This window comes from Homo sapiens, chromosome 5 (genome assembly GCF_000001405.40).
Source record: "Homo sapiens chromosome 5, GRCh38.p14 Primary Assembly".
In the NCBI taxonomy this organism is placed as follows: domain Eukaryota; kingdom Metazoa; phylum Chordata; class Mammalia; order Primates; family Hominidae; genus Homo; species Homo sapiens.
In genome coordinates this window covers 77,421,578-77,439,133 of record NC_000005.10, presented here as the reverse complement: position 1 = coordinate 77,439,133, position 17,556 = coordinate 77,421,578, and the positions used below count along the sequence as shown (strand labels likewise).

General features: G+C 39.8%; 2 protein-coding genes across 36 annotated transcripts in view; one reads left to right on the top strand and one right to left on the bottom strand.

The window, feature by feature from the left end:
- WDR41 (WD repeat domain 41) overlaps positions 1–8,201 on the top strand; it is a 189,645-nt gene extending 181,444 nt beyond the window's left edge. For 6 of the 9 annotated variants that reach the window (XM_011543505.3, XM_047417350.1, XM_047417349.1 and 3 more), the window contains 4 exons: positions 773–894; positions 1,710–1,798; positions 2,740–2,873; positions 5,847–8,201. In XM_011543505.3, the coding sequence (XP_011541807.1) occupies positions 773–894; positions 1,710–1,798; positions 2,740–2,873; positions 5,847–5,999 (498 nt within the window). In that variant the 3' untranslated portion in view covers positions 6,000–8,201. Of the gene's footprint in view, positions 1–772; positions 895–1,709; positions 1,821–2,739; positions 2,874–5,846 lie in introns of those variants that run through there. The other 3 variants (XM_005248552.4, XM_047417351.1, XM_011543507.3) reach the window with 3 other exon arrangements.
- The window catches only part of PDE8B (phosphodiesterase 8B), a 341,542-nt gene continuing 334,863 nt past the window's right edge, over positions 10,878–17,556 (bottom strand). For 25 of the 27 annotated variants that reach the window (NM_001414622.1, NM_001414623.1, NM_001349750.3 and 22 more), the window contains 3 exons: positions 17,146–17,313; positions 13,238–13,367; positions 10,878–12,689 (listed from right to left, as the gene is read on the bottom strand). In NM_001414622.1, the coding sequence (NP_001401551.1) occupies positions 12,580–12,689; positions 13,238–13,367; positions 17,146–17,313 (408 nt within the window). In that variant the 3' untranslated portion in view covers positions 10,878–12,579. The remainder of the gene's footprint in view (positions 12,690–13,237; positions 13,368–17,145; positions 17,314–17,556) is intronic. The other 2 variants (NM_001376072.1, NM_001349751.3) reach the window with 1 other exon arrangement.

Genomic DNA, 17,556 nt, shown 5'->3' with positions numbered 1-17,556 from the left:
GTGAGTCACGTGAGGAATGAGCAAGGGACTGGAGTAACATGACCTTGATTCTAATATTGACTCCATGTTTCATTTCTTGTGTGACTTTAATCTCTTTAATTTTAAATTCCTTATCTGGAAAATGGCAATGATGCTTGCCTTTCTTAACACGATGTTGTGAGGCTGAAGTGAGATAAGTATTAGTGAAAATGCTTTCAAAAGATTAAAGTTGTTTTAGTAAAAAGGTATTTATTTCTAATAGTACATTTGGAAAAATGTTTTTTGAAACCTTCAGAGGATTGCATGATGATAATGCCACTGTAGCCGTGCTTTTTTGTATCACTTGTAGGTCTCCTGATTGCTTAAGATGTGGAATGCAAGTAATTTTGCTTGCATTTTTCAGGCAGAAGAAGCTAGGTAATTTTCCCAAGGATATAGTGTTATTTAAATGAAAACTCAGGTTATCCCTCAACAGCTTCCACTGCAGGGCCAGGCTGCTAGCTATAGCTTTTCTCTAGATATATTTCAGTGAGGAAGAAGTGGCGCTAAGGGATATACTATGCAGACCTACCTTTCTCTGCATTAGTGGTTGTGTCCTACCTTCTAAATGCTCAGAGCTTTCTTTAGTGCTTTGACATTTTGGGGTTTCAGAGATTAGTACTGTAATTTGGGCTAAAGGCTAGGAATGGGAAAGGTAATGGTGGCTTTCTGATGTCACATGAGGGCTGGAAATCCATTACACTAGGAAGGGTGAGTGCTAGTTTTATGCCCATTTCTGAACTTCTTCCCCTAGAATGTATTTGCTGCAGTTGGAAGGGGTTTATACGTGTATAGCCTTCAAATGAAGCGTGTGATTGCCTGCCAGAAAACTGCACATGACTCCAATGTCCTGCACGTTGCCAGACTTCCAAACAGGTACAAGTTCCCATCTGTTCTGCAATAGATGAAAGCAAGTCACAGTTCCCAGGGCTACCAGTGTAATTTCTCAAGTGGCCAAGTTACCTGGCTTCATGGCTTGACCTGCTGTGTTCTTTTGGAAATGGAGAATGCCTGAGGGCTGTCTCTAACAGAAGGGTATGTGGCAGTATATTACAGAATTTACAAGAAGCAAGGTGCAAATGAATTACATTGAATTTCATTGTTAAGAAGAGATGATTTAAAATTTGGTATTTAACAACATAAACGACTTTGGGGCCACTTACATTGTACCAATTTTTATATTTCTCATAAACCTACCTTCTTTTTGTTTATGGCCAGAATCAAATGGTTGCTGGTCTCCTTGTTGTGTGAGGCTACTAAGTGAGTGGTTTCCTGTCAGGGTAGATTTGCTGCTGAGCTTCTAGGGACGAACATATGGACAGGGACTATCATTATTTTCTATGCAGGATATTTTTATAGTGAAGCACCCAGAGAAGAGAGGTAGCAAGAGGAGGGAAGGGGGCTGCTTAGGACATTGTGAAGTATAATTCACACTGTTTTCCCAAGGGCATTTTTTTAAATGGAGAGAATCAATTTATAGCATTTGAGCTAATGTAACGAGTAACATGTGGCTTTCCTAAAGGGTGCTTTTAGTTTGCGTTGTAACGTCATGCTAAATTGTGATTTTTGTCAGTTCCTGCTAAGAGCTGAATAAAAGCAGTTGAGGGCTCCACTGATTTCTTTCACTGCAAATTTAGCATTGGCCCTCAGTGGTGCGCTCTTTTTGTATTACTGATTTTCTGTTCTGACAGGCAGTTAATCTCATGCTCAGAAGATGGCAGTGTACGCATTTGGGAGTTAAGAGAAAAACAGCAGCTTGCAGCTGAGCCTGTACCAACAGGTGTGTGTCTTCTCTCAAAAAGGTAGTCTTTTTCTCTCCTTTTTTCTCACGTGAAAGGCAGGAGAAGGACAATTATGTGAAACCACTAAAATAATATAGAAATGCTCCAAATAGGCATCAGATGTTTATAGAAAGCATATGGTAATTGAGATCTAGGATTTACAGCTTAATACTGCCCTAATGTAGAACTGCCACTTCATTTCAAGTAAGATAGAGATTTTCTTGTTTTGAGGGAAAACTTACTTTCTGGTAATCTGAATGACCAAATGGCCTAATGAAGTATTCATTTATATTGTCTATAATTCTGACTGATACACAAAATTTGTACCGTCAGATGTCAAACCAAAGTGTTCTTTACCCTTGATGTTGAACTTAATTTATGGGAAAACATACTTTTCCTTGTGTGCTTATATCATAATTTTATGAGCTCTTGACTTCCAGGTGTTTAGTTTGAAAAACAAAACTCTGAAGGGTTGAATAAATTAGTTACCAACCTTTGCACAAGAAATCAGATGCTGGTACCTAGTTGTTTCTGGTCCTTTTGACTTCCTGAAGTCCTGGGGTGTTGCTTTTGCACATACATATACAGCTTTTCCCCTATGCCTTGTTTGTTGATCTGAGTTTTGCCCTTTTTTCCCTTGACAGTTAGACACTGCCATTCAAGCTTTGTTTCTGTCCTGTTTTATTCCAAGTGTCTTTTTGTTAATATACCTGCACCAGTGGGTGACTAGGGGCAATAAAAAGAGATGAAGAACAGACCTGGTTAGCTAAGAAAGATGAAATAACATATTCACAAAACCCTAGCACGGTGCTCAGGTACTGTCCACTTAGCCCTTGACTAAAATAAGTCTGGAACCTCTTCACATTTAAATTTTGTTTTTCTGATCTCATGTTATTGTAAGTACAGAGCACAGTAATTTTGGAAATGATTCTTTTTCTAGGTTTTTTTAACATGTGGGGATTTGGAAGAGTCAGCAAACAAGCCAGCCAACCTGTTAAAAAGCAGCAAGAAAATGCTACTTCATGTTCACTGGAGCTTATTGGAGATTTGATTGGACACTCATCATCTGTGGAGGTATTGCTGTTTAGCCACAGAATGTCCAAGCAACTCCTGCTTTTGCATTTCATTGCTCTTTTCTTTCAGTTGATCTCATAAAGGCATATACTTTTTCTTATATCTGTAGGTGTTTGTCAGATCTGAACATGGAATGGGATAGGCTATAGTATGTGCAGTTAGGGTCTCCCTTTCCGGATATATGATTTGAGGAAACAAGGAATGCATTGCTTTTAAGAATGGTCTTAATCACCATTATTTAGGAGCTGGAGATAGCTGACAGTAAGGGCAGTGTGAATAATGTTGACTATATGACAACAGTAAACAGAGGATGCATGAAGGGTTGTGGTTATATGTGTATACAGTTAAAGCCTTAACAGAATCGAATTCCAGGGGCCTTTATCAAATTCATGAACAGAGTCCTGTTTCTCCTGCCTTTGAAGGATAATAGTTTGTTAGCTTTAATGAAACCTATGCCTTGATTTTCATTGTGCAAATATGAAAGTTTTAGTTGAAAATTATGAAATGCGTAAGCTTTTAACATGTAGAAATCCAGATACATTAATATTTGCTGCAGGCATCATTGCCTGTAGTGAAGGAATAAGATCAGTTGAGGTAACAGATTAGCTGTGAGAACTAATAACAGTGTAATCAGGGCCCTAAGGAATTTCTTAAATTGTTCTTCCCTGTTTCATAGCCAAAGAACAAAAAATTTCTTTTCATTTGAAAGGGCATTCATGCTTAGGAGGAGCAGCGGCAGCATCCTTGTTAGTGAGCATTTCCTGTATTTCAGGCACTGTGCTAAACACTGGCTGCTGGAGTTTACAGAGAGAGATGAAAACAGTCCTTGCCCTCATGGATCTTACCCTTGAGTGGAGAGAAGGGGTATAGACCTAATAGGCTGTTACCCTAGGCTGCATTTGATGGACCCAAGTAAGCAGCAGTGACTCAGAAGAAACATTTCTTGCTGAATCTTGTAAATGGTTAGAGGATATAGGACTTGACACTTGAGCTGAACCTTGAAGTTTAGTAGGATGAGTATATAGCCTTGTCATCATAAGCTCCTTGATGTTGGGGTACAGTGTCATAGTTATCTTTGCTTTCCTCTAACAAGTAGCTCAGTTTTTAACTTTGTGTTTATGGTTGGGAGGTGAGCATGGACTGTGGTAGGCAGAAGGGCAAAGATAGCATTTACGTGGTGGCAAGGAGCACCTTGGCTAGGCCGGAGCGCTGGGTTCCTGTGAACAGACACTAGTAGGGGATAAAGCCTGGGAACGTGGTTTGGGGTCAGATTATGGATGTCCTTGAATGTAAGGCTGAGGAGTTTGGACTTTATTTTTTAAATAGTAGGAACTCATTAAAAAGGTTTTTAGATGGTAGGGAAAACCCCATGTAAAAGACATTCAAAATGTGTTTGAATGTGGCACATTTCTCATTCTATAAAACAGTGTCAGCTTCTTAGGAATTTTCCTGAGTGAAAGTGTTGAGACCTGAACACTTTTAAAAAGCATCTCCAGCTTCGTTGATAAAATCTAGGCTATCTTTGCAGTGTCACCTGAATTTCCTCATTTCTTTTTTTTTCTTTGAGACAGCATCTCACTCTGTTGCCCAGGCTGGAGTGCAGTCTTGGGTCACTGTACTCTCCGCCTCCCAGGTTTAAGCAATTCTCCTGCCTCAGTCTCCCAAGTAGCTGGGATTACAGGTGCCCGCCACCACGCCCAGCTAATTTTTGTACTTTTAGTAGAGATGGGGTGTCACCATGTTGGCCAGGCTGGTCCTCATTTCTATTTTCATCCTTGCTCTACTGGCGCAACCCCTCTACCTGTGTACTGAATTTTGTGTTTTCCAGTTTCCGAAGGAATTCTGCTCCCATGTTTCCTCCCTTCACTCCTGCATCCTCAGCTGAGTCTTATCCTGTGGTCTTCAGAAATGTATATGTCATTTCAGAGAAAACTCTTGTTTTTTTTCCCGAGAGGGAGTTTTGCTCTTGTTGCCCAGGTTGGAGTACAATGGCGCAATCTCCACTCACTGCAACCTCTACCTCCTGGGTTCAAGCGATTCTCTTTCCTCGGCCTCCCGAGTAGCTGGGATTACAGATACCCAGCTAATTTTTAGTATAGACAGGGTTTCACCATGTTTGGCCAGGCTGGCCTTAAACTCCTGACCTCAGGCAGTCCACCCACCTCAGCCTCCCGAAGTGCTGAGATTACAGGTGTGAGCCACCACGCCCGGCCCTGTTTCTCTTTTATTTCACCCTTTCCTTCGAGGACCTCATCCTTTTCATTGATTCACTTTTCTGATACAACTCTTCACCCCATAGTATTCATGCTGCCTTTTGTCAACACTCTGTTTTCCTATTCTTAGCTTCCAGCCTATTCCTTCACTGGGCAAGCCCCTTCCCCTTACTTGGGGCATTTTCTCCCTTTGAAGCTTTTTCTGAATTTCTGTGACATGTCATAGTCTATACTGCATTATTTAGTACCTGATTACATAATCTCTCATTGGTACCTTTATTGTTTCAATTATGATTTGCTTTTCAGAATCTTCTTGAGGGTAGGGACCATAAACGTAGTGCTGACACTTAACACCTATGGATTGAGTATATCTACTTTTATAGAGAGCTGAAGCCAGTGTTTATCTTGGGAAATTTAGAATTCAGACATTTTTTCCATAGCCATTATACAGTATAAGTAATGGTTAAGTAAAACCAATACTTGAAAAATCAGATGATGAAAAAATCTGGAAGAACTATGAGAATTCATGTACTTTACAAAAATAGCTATTCTGTAGTTGAACAATATTAACAAAATTCTGATTAAAATATTAGATATTATTTGTATGTGACTTACCAATACTGAAAAATGAAATGAAGTTCTACACCCAGATCCAAAGGAGTCTTTAAGGCACATATCTCACACGCACATGTGTTAATGTGGTATTAGACACTTCTCTGCTTTTCGGGGTCCCTATAATCAGTTTTAATTTTCTTTACAGATGTTTCTATACTTTGAAGATCATGGACTAGTGACGTGCTCCGCTGATCATCTCATTATTTTGTGGAAAAATGGAGAGCGAGAATCTGGATTGCGCAGTTTAAGATTATTTCAAAAATTAGAGGAGAATGGTGACTTATACCTTGCTGTCTAGTTTAAGGAATTAAAAATACACATGCATGAACCTTGAACATCAAATATCGGGTACTACTCTGAAAACCATTAATATATTGATCACTTAAATTGGTAATTTTTTTTGTCAGTCCATAAAATTCTACATGTTTAAATTTTTTGTGGACCTACCAACCAGGAACATGTTGCTTCTCAGGTCCTAGTATATCCTCCAAAGAATATACCACAAGTTTTTCCATTTGACTTTGAGCTGCTGTTGAAGTGGTGAGTGCTGTGTTTTGAGCTTATTTTGAACCTAGATCCTTGTGAAAGGTACAAATAGAGGTAATAGTTAAGTTATGGCATTTATTAGAAGTTTTATTATTTGGCTTCCTTTAGAATTATTGTGAAGTTTAAAAATAGCCTTTCTCCTGCAAATTTTCCTAGTCTTTAGTAACTGTTAGTGTTCTATATAGCACAAACTTGAATCTCTCAGCCAAAAAAGGGAACATATATACTGTTTAAGTATGGCAAGTTTTCTTTGGTACCAATTTGTTTAGATAATTTTAAAAATGTTTTTTAGTTCTAGCTACTAAAACCTGTATGAACTCAAATGGATAGGCATCTTGTGAGGGTGTGTTTTTCCCAGTGTGAATTGGCTTGAAGAGCCATGGGCTAAATGGGTACTAGAACAACAACTGCCCCTCATGTACGCCAAGGATGAGCTCTAGATCATTTGAGAGGCACAGTGTTTCCGGAGTCAGGGACTGCAGCTGAGCGCAACTGCCCCATCTGACCACTGACTCAAATACGAACTGCTTGAGACAGACTTCTTTTATGTAGTTCTTTGCAGTGTCCATTGAGACACTATAACCAGCCTTGTAACAATATGTTTTCTCCTTTTGGTGCTAAAAAATGAAAATATTAGAAAGTAGTCTACACATTAAAGATTGAAATTCTTAAACTACTGATGAAGAAAGGGCAACGTGACAGATGTTAGCAGACTGACCCTTCTTACAGAAAACCTACAGATTTATTTGTTCATTATACAAATATACTACAAATATACCCTAAAGGGAATCTCCATAAGTTCTTTTACTAGTTTTAGCTTTGACAGTTGCTTCCACAACTACCTACAAAGACTGGAAGAGTTAAGGTCATCTGAGTAGACCAGTGGCATAATGTTACAAATGAGGAAACTGAGGCCCAGTGCAGTAAGGCCTTGCAATTAAATCTGTAGTGCCCAGTATCACCAAGCAGCTCTAAAAACAGGAACTGAAGACTGAATGAGAAAAGGCTTATATGACTACTTTAAATCCAAACAACATTGAGTCATGAAAAGTTCTATGGAGAAATATTAAAACTTAAGCTACCTCAATTACAGAAGACTTTCTCCCATTATTCACGTGCTTTTTCCTTTAGAAATTCTGCATTGGCCCATACATTTGTAAAGTTGTTTTCTGAAGTTGTATGACACAAGGGAGCCATAGACTTAACTGTTTTACTTCCTAGCCTGTTCTAGGCTAGTATTTTGTGATAGTAATCTATTCAAATGGAGTGGTAGAAATCACATGAATTTTGGAAGCAAATGGTACCGTAAGTACCACAGCAAATTCCTTCTGGTCATTATACAGGCGTACCTCAGAGATACTACAGGTTAGGTTTCAGACCACATCAAAAAAGCAACTATTGCAAATAGAGTGAGTCACATCTAGTTTTTGGTTTCCCAGTGCCTATAAAACTTGTGTTTATACTACAGTCTTAAATTTCTAAAAAATGTACATACCTTAAGAATACTTTATTGCTAAAAAATGCTAACAATCATCTGAGCCTTCAGCGAGTCATAATCTTTTTGCTGGTGGAGGGTCTTGATACTGCTGGCTGTTGACTAAGGTGGTTACTGAAGGTTGGGGTGGCTGTGGCAGTTCCTTAAAATAAGATAGCGATGAAGTTTTCCAAATCAATTGACTTCCTTTCACAAATGAGATCTCTGTAACATGTAATACTATTTAATAGCATTTTACCCACAGTAGAACTTCTTTCAAAATTTAGAGTCTGTCATCTCAAATCCTGATGCTCCTTTATGAACTAAGTTTATAGAATATTCTAAATCCTTTGTTGTCATTTCAACTATGTTTACAGCATCTTCACTGTGGAAATGACTGTCTCCAGAAACCACTTTCTATACACATTCTTAAGCAACTTCTCATCTATTAAAGTTTGATCATGAGATTACAGCAATTCATTCACATCTTCAGGCTCCACTTCTTCCAGACTCCTTTTAATGCTGGAATTTTGACCGCCTCCCATGAATCAGAATGTTCTTAGTGGCATCTAGAATGCTAAATGCTTCCCAGAAGGTTTTCAATTGACTTTGCCCAGACTCTTCAGAGGAATCACTAGTTAGGGCAGCTACAGCCTTATTAAATGTATTTCTTAAATAAATAAGACTTAAAAGTCAAAGTGACTCCTTGACCCATGGACTGCAGCATAGATGTTGTGGTAGCTGGCACGAAGACAACATGAACCTCCTTGTACATCTCCATCAGAACTCTTAGGTGACCAGGTAACATTGTAATGGGCAGTAATATTTGGAAAGAAATTTGAGCAGGTCTCAACCATAGGCTTAAATATTCAATAAACCATGCTATAAACAGATATGCTGTCATCTAGGCTTTGTTATTCCACTTCTAGAGCATAGGCAGAGTAGATTTAACATAATTCTTAAGGGCCTTAAGATTTTTGGACTGGTAAATAAACTCTGACTTCAACTTAAAGGCACCAACTACACTCGCTGGCATTGAACTTCTTCTCCCCAGCTATGAAGTCCTAGATGACATCTCTTCTAATAGAAGACCATTTCATCTTCACAAACTCAGTTGTTTAGTGTAGTCGCCTTCAGTGATCTTAGCTAGATCATCTGGACAACTTCCTGCTGTTGTTGTCCCTTGCACTCTGACGTTAATGGGGATAGTTTCATGAACCAACCTCTGCTTGCTTCCAGCTTTTCTTCTGTAGCATCCTCACCTCTCAGTCTTCGAAGAAAGAATTGAAGAATTAATTAGGCTTTGGCTTAAGGGAATGTTGTGGCTTGTTTAATCTATATAGACCACTCAGACTTTCTCCATCTCAGCAGTAAGGCTGTTTCACTTTCTTGTTTGCATGTTCACTGGAGTTAACACTTTCAAGAACTCTTCCTTTGCATAACTTGGCTAACTGGTGTAAGAGGCATGGCTTTCACCTGCCTGGGCTTTCAACATGCCTTCTTCACTAAGCTTTATTATCTGTAGCTTTTGATTTAAAGTGAGAGACATGTGACTCTTTTACTTGCACATTTACAGGCTACTGTAGGTTATTAATTGGCTTAATTTCGATATTGTTGTGTCTCAGGGAATAGGGAGGTCTAAGAAGAGGGAGAGACTGGAAACCGCTAGTTGGTGGAACAGTTAGAATATACACAAGATTTATCAATTAAGTTCACTGTCTTATACGGGCATGGTTTGCAGTACCCTAAAACAATTACAGTAGTAACAAAGATCACTGATCACAGACCACCATGACAGATACAAGAATAAAAACATTTGAAATACTCTAAGAGTTACCAAAATGTGACACTTACACAAAGTGAGCCCATGCTGGGAAAATGCCCCGATAGACTTGCTCTATGCAGGGTGGCCACAAGCCCTCAATTTGTAGAAAAGGCAGTATCTTTGAAGCACAATGAAGCAGAATGCAATAAAATGAGGTATACTTGTATTCTAATTTTCTGCCATGAAAAACTGTCTAGAGGGCAGTCTCCAACCCTAGGGACTAGATTGCTTTTGTTTTCATGCATGCCCTAAGGTCACAGAGATGGGGGATAACAGTATGATGGGAGATTCTGGTAGGGACTCAAACCTGATGGTGTTCAGTAGTTGCAGGTAGACTGCTGCTAAAAGTTGGACTTTCAATTTAGAATAAAATAATGGGTCAATGTATATTATGTACATTTTCTCCATTTCCTGAGTTTAGCTTTCAACAGTTAAGATACTTGCAACAGCAGAAGTAACACTACATAGTGTTACAGTGTACAAATCCCTTGTCATTTTTATTTTAAAATATATTTATTACCTCAGTCTCTGGCTATATTCACATAGCGCAAGGGCACAAGATCATCCCTTCTGTTTCTCTCTCTAAAGCTGAGTAGGTTCTGAGTGAACTGACAGGCTTGTTTTTTTTTTGCCCAGAATGCTAACCAGTCCTGACATGGAGGGCAAGTAAATTTAAAAATCTTAAATTAGAAATAAAGAATGATCTTAGGAAATTATAGGGTCATTCTGGTCCAGCAGTGTTTTATAACTGGCTTCCTTCTCTTACTAGTCACGGAAATTATTAGAGAGTGTTGCATTTTCCTAATACGGCCCTCCTCAGCACATGACATTTAAGTAAACAACTCTGTGTAAGAGGCAGTTATAATAGTTTATATAATATAAACTATCTGATACACATATCATCTGAAAGCCTGTATTTCTAACAAGTTGACTATGTGGAAGAATAGACTAGTTCGCAGGCCAGAAGATTATACCGTAGATTACACTGGTAAAGAGCAGAAATTGTTGACGCTTTAGTACCTAGCTGTCTTAAAGCATTTTTAAACATTTGCACATTACTAATAAAAAGTTTGAAGTTAACAAGAAATTTGACATAAAACTGAGTAAGCTGTAAATATTTCATATAGAAGATGTCTGACACCTGATAAATGTTACTTACCAAATAGAACTGAAAGTGAGATGATCAGAAAAAGATTGTCCTTGCCTCAAGCAAGCTTCTGAAGCCTAGGCAAGTTAGCTAGGTCCTTAATATGGGATTCTGGCATCCTGATTTTAATGTGCTCTGAAAACAAAGTGTGTGACTCATGAAATAAAGGACACTAAACCCCAAATTTGAAATTATGAAAACTTTAGGCCAAAGAGGTAAAATAAAAACAGCTGTTGGGAGTGAAAAATGGCTGTAGGAATTTAGTTACAAGTACTTCACAAAAACATTTTCATCACATTTACATAATATAGCATTACAATACAAAGCTGGCTGCTGTCCTGACCAAGCAAGTTCTCTTATCATCTAACAAAAATAATTTAGATACATTTCTTTGCATGGAATTGTCATATTTTTCCATTTTTGGTACAAAACATAGAAAAAAACATTGGCACATTATGTAGTGATAAGTCATTTTTTCCCCATGTACAAGTTCCAAGTATTCTGCATTCCAATTTGTATTGGAAAAAAGTAATTACTGATTCAATTAATTCAGTCTCTGTTTGTTTATACCTTTTAAAAATGCAGCATGAAGTACAGAGAAAGAAAAATGAAGTTTGTTTACGGAGTCTAATATTTATAATACATAGGAAGGATCAGCTGGTAAAAGAGAAAGGAAAATCTCGAGTCTGACTTTATGTAGATCACAGGGAGTTGTGAAAAGAGCAGTATAAAAATATGCACTTGTGCTTTAGAAGCTTTTAGCATACAATTAATAGCTTAAAATAGTATTTACTGCCTCCCCATATGCCTATTTTCTGATATATTTACACCACACAATTTTAACATTGTTAAAGCTAATGGCATGATTTCAAATATAGACTGGTTAAAAATATCTGAACCTTGAAACTTCCCCTATCCCCTCCCAAAATATTACGTATAGATGGTGCATGGCACAACATACTGCATGGGCTTACACCCAGAAAATTTGGATTTTAATAAAAATTTTAAACATGTATATAAACTTTTTTTTTTTTTTTTTAAGAAAAGCTTGTCCAAGGGCATTCAAATTTAATGGCTTTTATATAATACTTGGTGTAGTGCCTCGTGGCTGCCTCTGTGAGCCAGAAATAAAGGAAGCTCATGGATTCCCCAAAAATGAAATGCCACTTTTTCCCTCATCATGGATGACTTTGTTAAGATGAACCCCTTTTACAGGAAAGGGGTTACACAGGCTGCTGATACCAGTCTAGAGAGGGCACCCACCAGCCAAGGCTGTGTTCTAACTTAGGTGTCATACCATCGGCCAGAAGAACCATGTAGCCATAGAGGCTGTGAAGCTAACTAGTTTATCTGTAATTTGGTCCTAGTTGTTTCACTTATTTTATGTCGTTTTTTTTTTTTCTTAGATAAATCTGTTCAGATAAGCTCCTTATGAATCCTTCAGATCGATGTTCTTGAGGAAAACAGTCAAGCTAAACAGCAATGATGACTTTTATGGTAAAGGATGAGCTGATCACTAGCTAAGCTACTTAGTCACCATCCTGGGAGATGAGCTCACAGGCACCAAGGCTTTGCTTCCTGTGGCCTGCTAGTTACAGTGAACCAGCTCCATGGATTGACAAGGGTACACAGGATGACAGCAGAGCAAAGGAGTTTGCCAAGTATTTGTTCTGTCATTAAGTATTCAAAAGAACATATATTTTTCTTCATGGAACATAACTTTCTAAGAATGAAATTTGGGGACTTGAATGATTCAAGGTCAAATATTAAACATTAGCTCCTTCACCAATACCTGTCATTGTCATTAGAAAGGAAGGCCTCTCGTTTACGCTACTGTGATTCACAGTGTCCTTTGTCGGTCAAGAGGCCCCCTCTGTGGCTTGGCTTTAGCTGTCAGATGGAAGCCTCAAACTTTTGCACTTTAGGTCATCTAGTGTCTTCCAGTGTTTGTAGTTGTCAGCCAAATGTTGCATCAGGGCTGGCAGATGTGCAAAGGCTGCAAAGACAGAAAAGAATCAAAAGAAACCGGTGAACTTAGACCCCAGGAGCATTTATAAGCCTGGGGGTGTCTGGGACAAGTTTGGGATCAGAATTAGAGGAGGCACACCCTGGGCGAAGCATGAGGACAAGTCATTAAACACTAGTTTCTGAAATGCAAACAGGTCCTTTTTGAAAAGCTGCTTATCAGTGACATTATCAGAAGAACCTGTGATTCAGAGTAAACTAAATACATTTTGCATTCTTTCTAGAGTTTTCCTCCAACGACAGAAAAACACTGCAGTAAGCTTTGGCAGCGTGTCCTTTGAAGAGGCAGAGACTCGTTTATCCAGCTATCAAAAATCCATCAAGTCTTCTGCACACAAGCTTCTGTGCCAGCTGCTGGGGATGCAAAGAATGCACCCCACCCCACTTGGCCACAAAAAGCTGACAGCCACATTTTTAAAAATATATTTTGTTTACCTTTAGGCTCACCCTGTGTCACTAAAGATAATATTCGTAAAGTATAACAATTTTCTTTGGGTGACAAAACAGTAACTGTCTTACCATCCCAAGCATCAAACATGTCTGTTATGAAGTAGTCAATGAAAGAGATCTGAGACTTGGGGATGCTACAGGTATTCCGGTCAAACACTGGCATCACCACAGGTAGTCCCTGTCTCTTCTCTTCATCAGTCTGTAAGAAAAAACCACCACATAGGGCTGGAGGACATGCGAGACACTTTCACAGTAATATCCTGTTTCTCAGAACAACCCTGTGAAAATGGGTCATTATCCAGTTTTCTCAATGAAGAAATAGGCTCAGCAAGGTCCTCAGACTTACGTAAGTCAGCTGAGCTACACTGACTACACTCAGACCTTCCCACTCTCAAGCCTCTTTTTTTGTTTTTGAGACAGTGTCTCACTCTGTTGCCCAAGCTGTAGTACAGTGGTGCAGTCTCGGTTCACTGCAACCTCCGCCTCCCAGGTTCAAGCAATTCTTCTGCCTCAGCCTCCTGAGTAGCTGGGAATACAGGCACCTGTCACCACGTCCAGCTAATTTTTAGTAGAGAAGGGGTTTCACCATATTGGCCAAGCCAGTCTTGAACTCCTGACCTCAGATGATCTGCCTCCCTTGGCCTCCCAAAGTGCTGGGATTATAGGCACGAGCCACTGTGCCTGGCCCCAAGCCTCTTTCTATGTGATACCATAGCATCTCCTGACACATTGATCTCAGGGTACTTAGCCCCTTTTCTGGGATCTGCTTTTATCATTGCAAAGTCAAAGCTCTGTTCAATGTCATACAAACACAAATTCTCATACCAAAACTACTGACATTTACACTGAGAAGAAGCAATAGTGGGTAAAACTGCTAACACCTTAGCATGACTCAATGAACTAGCACCAAACTGTATTAATAGCCATAGTCATTATATTATTTGCTGCCACATGTTTGCACTTAAAAAAAGTTTCAGGCCAAGCCCAATGGCTCATGCCTGTAATCCCAGTGATATGGGAGGTCAAGGCAGGAGGTTCGCTTGGGGCCTGGAGTTTTGAGTCTGCATTGAGCCAGGACTGCCACTGCACTCCAGTTTGGGTTACAGAGTGAGATCTTGTCTCACATTAAAAACAAAAAACAAAAAACAAAAAAACAGAACCAGTTTCACTTGAGAATTACCTCTTTGAAGCAGTAAGAGTTATTAATTGTATTAAATCTTGACCTTCGAAGTACATGTCTCTGTAATATTCTGGATGATGAATGTGATGAAATGGGAGTACACGTACACTTGAACTGCATACCAAAATCTGCTGGTTGTCTTGTGGAAAGCACTTATGCACTTGAATTGAGCTGAACCAGCTGTTTTTATCCATGGACCATTATTTTCACTGGAAAGAATGACTGTCAAACTATGATTGTTCAAACTTGGGTATTAGCCTTGCAGCTTTTGAGGTGTGTGGAAATCTGAGTATTCTGCACATTAAACTAAGGCCATCATCATTCATTGAGCTGAGTATTAGGATCCGCATTTCCTGGTGGTGTATTAAGCCAGAAGGCCAGCTCAAAGGCTTCATTTGTAACTTTCATTTTTAGGTCACCCTGGCTTATGAACATTAGTACATTGCTTTTTGGGAAAAGGACACCTAAATAGGAAGCTTTTATCAAAAAACTTAAAAGCACATTTTTCTCATCCTCCATTCACACTGAGAACAACTAGGAGTAGTACGTCAGGTCCTCTCTCTGTGGGTCCGGGGAAGCCCATTGATGAGCAGCTTTTGGCTTGGCTTGCTCATTTCAGGTCAGTCGATCAAGCAGCCTTAAAATATCCACTGGTGTTCAAGGAGTCATTTGATCCTCACTCCCTTCCTGTTCTTCTCTCTGGAAAGCTCAGAACTACCTGTCCTACTTTTCTTCAATTCAGAGGCTCTCTTCCCAGAAAGCTGCAGTCTACTTACTGGATTTCATGAACAGACACTTCTCAAAAGACGACACACAAGCAGCCAATAAACATAAAAAAAAAAATGTCCAGGCTGGGTGCGGTGGCTCACGCCTGTAATCCTAGCACTTTGGGAGGCCAAGGCAGGCGGATTGCCTGAGCTCAGGAATTCGAGACCAGCCTGGGCAACACAGGGAAACCCCATCTCTACTAAAATACAAAAAATTAGCCGGGCATGGCAGTGTGCACCTGTAGTCCCAGCTACTTGGGAGGCTGAGGCAGAATTGCTCAAGCCTGGGAGGTGAGGGTTGCAGTGAGCTGAGGTCATGCCACTGCACTCCAGCCTGGGCAACAGAGCAAGACTGTCTCAAAAAAAAAAAAAAAAAAAAAAAAAAACTAAACAAAACAAAAGTCCAGCATCACTAATCAGACATGCAAATCAAAACCACAATGAGATACCATCTCAAACTAGTCAGAATGGCTATTAAAAAGTCAGAAAATAACAGATGTTGGCAAGGTTGTGGAGAAAAGAATGCTTATACACTGTTGGTGAGAAATAAATTAGATCAGCTAGCCCCTGTGGAAAGCAGTTCGGAGATTTCTCAAAGAACTAAAAATAGAAATTGCTATTCAACCCAGCCGTCCCATTACTGGGTATATACCCAAAGGAAAATAAATCATTCTACTGAAGAGACACCTGTACTTGCATGTTTATGACAGCACAATTCATGGTAGCAAAGACATGGAATCAACCCAGGTGCCCATCATTGGTGGACTGGATGAAGAAAATGTGGTGCATATACACCATGGAATACTATGCAGCCATAAAAAAGAATGAAATCATGTCATTTGCAGCAACATGGCTAGAGCTGGAGGCCATTATCCTAAAGTGAAGTAATAATAGAAACAAAACCAGATACTACATGTTCTTTCTTAGAAGTGGTAGCTAAACATTGGGTACACACAGTGGCAGAAACTGGAACAGTAGACACTGGAGACTTCAAAAGGAGGGAAGGGGGCAAGGGTTGAAAAACTACTTATTGGGTACTATGTTTACTACTTGAGCCATGGATCATTAGAAGCTCAAACCTCAGCATCAGCAATATACCCTTTTAACAAACCTGCACATGTACCCCCAAATCTTAAACATACTGGGCTCCTCTGCTGGTCACTCCCCTTCCCAGTCTTCCTAGGCATCATCTATTCTTTATCCTGCCCTTATTTATCCTGCCTCCACAGTACATTTCAGCCATGCAGACCCCACAAAATTCACTACTTGTGGCTGCTTGTTTGTCACCCACACACCCATCAGTGCTTAGAGTCTCTTCTCTGGAAGTAGGGCTGTTTTCACATGTCCATTTACAGTCTACTGCTTTCTAGATTTCTCTCCTTTAACTCTCTACACTGCTACAATTAAAGTGAACTACATATTGCTCTTCCCTTTTTATAAAAATTCTATTTCCCCTCCCTTTGTTAATTTTGCTCAGAATGCTTTGTTCTTCCAGAAAGTCTTTTCCTATTCCATTTCTGTAGCCCCCCTTTTATCTAGAAAAAAGTCTCTCTGAACGTCTGTAGCACTTAACATAAACTTCCTTGAGATACACTTCATTTTTTACTAACATGTGGACCTATCTACATCTCTCCCCTATTGGACTGGAACTCCCCGTGGCCGCGATGTCTTCACTAATGCCTGTGTTCCCATAACGCGCCATGTAGACACCCAGGAATAACCTAGTGAATGAATGGAAGATTTCTCGGTTTTTGTGCAAGTTCTGGATCCAGCAAACTGAAGATGAAAAGTTACTTCCAAAGGCTCAGTTTATCCCCCTTCTCAAGAGACTCTGGTTAGTGATCAGCCCCATCAGTCAGCTCCTGAAGGAACCAGAAGCCTACCCCAGGTGGGGGTAAGCTGCTTTCTTCCAGGGAGGAGTGGTTAACTAATTGGTAAAAAGTTACTCAGCTGGAGAATCCCCCAGGAGTTCCATGACCTAGTTCCCATTCCCAGAGGGGAAGTGGAGCTTCCCTGGAAAGATGGCGCACCTGTGCAAAATACTCCTCAGAGATCCTCCCAGCCCATTCAATGCACAGGTCCAAGGGGCGGCATGGGTTGGCCACGTCAGCACACTTAATCATCATGCGTTTGATCAGGATTTGGTTTTCAGGGAAGTTCTTCCCAGCAGGGTTGCATTCACAGTCGCTGCCTTCAATCTGGAAAACAGATGGTCAGATCAGGCTTGGTTCAAGATGACGGTGAAGCCCACAAGGGTTAATTCGCCAGGCATTCGATGGTGATCACCGAGCACACAGGTAGGACTGGGACTCGGCGAAGGCAGCTTTTCCTTTTTTAAATTCCATATATAATATACTGACACATTCTTTAAAAAAAGAATATACTGATACAGTCTTAAAAGACACTCAGCAATACACACACACACAGAGTTTGAAAGTTGA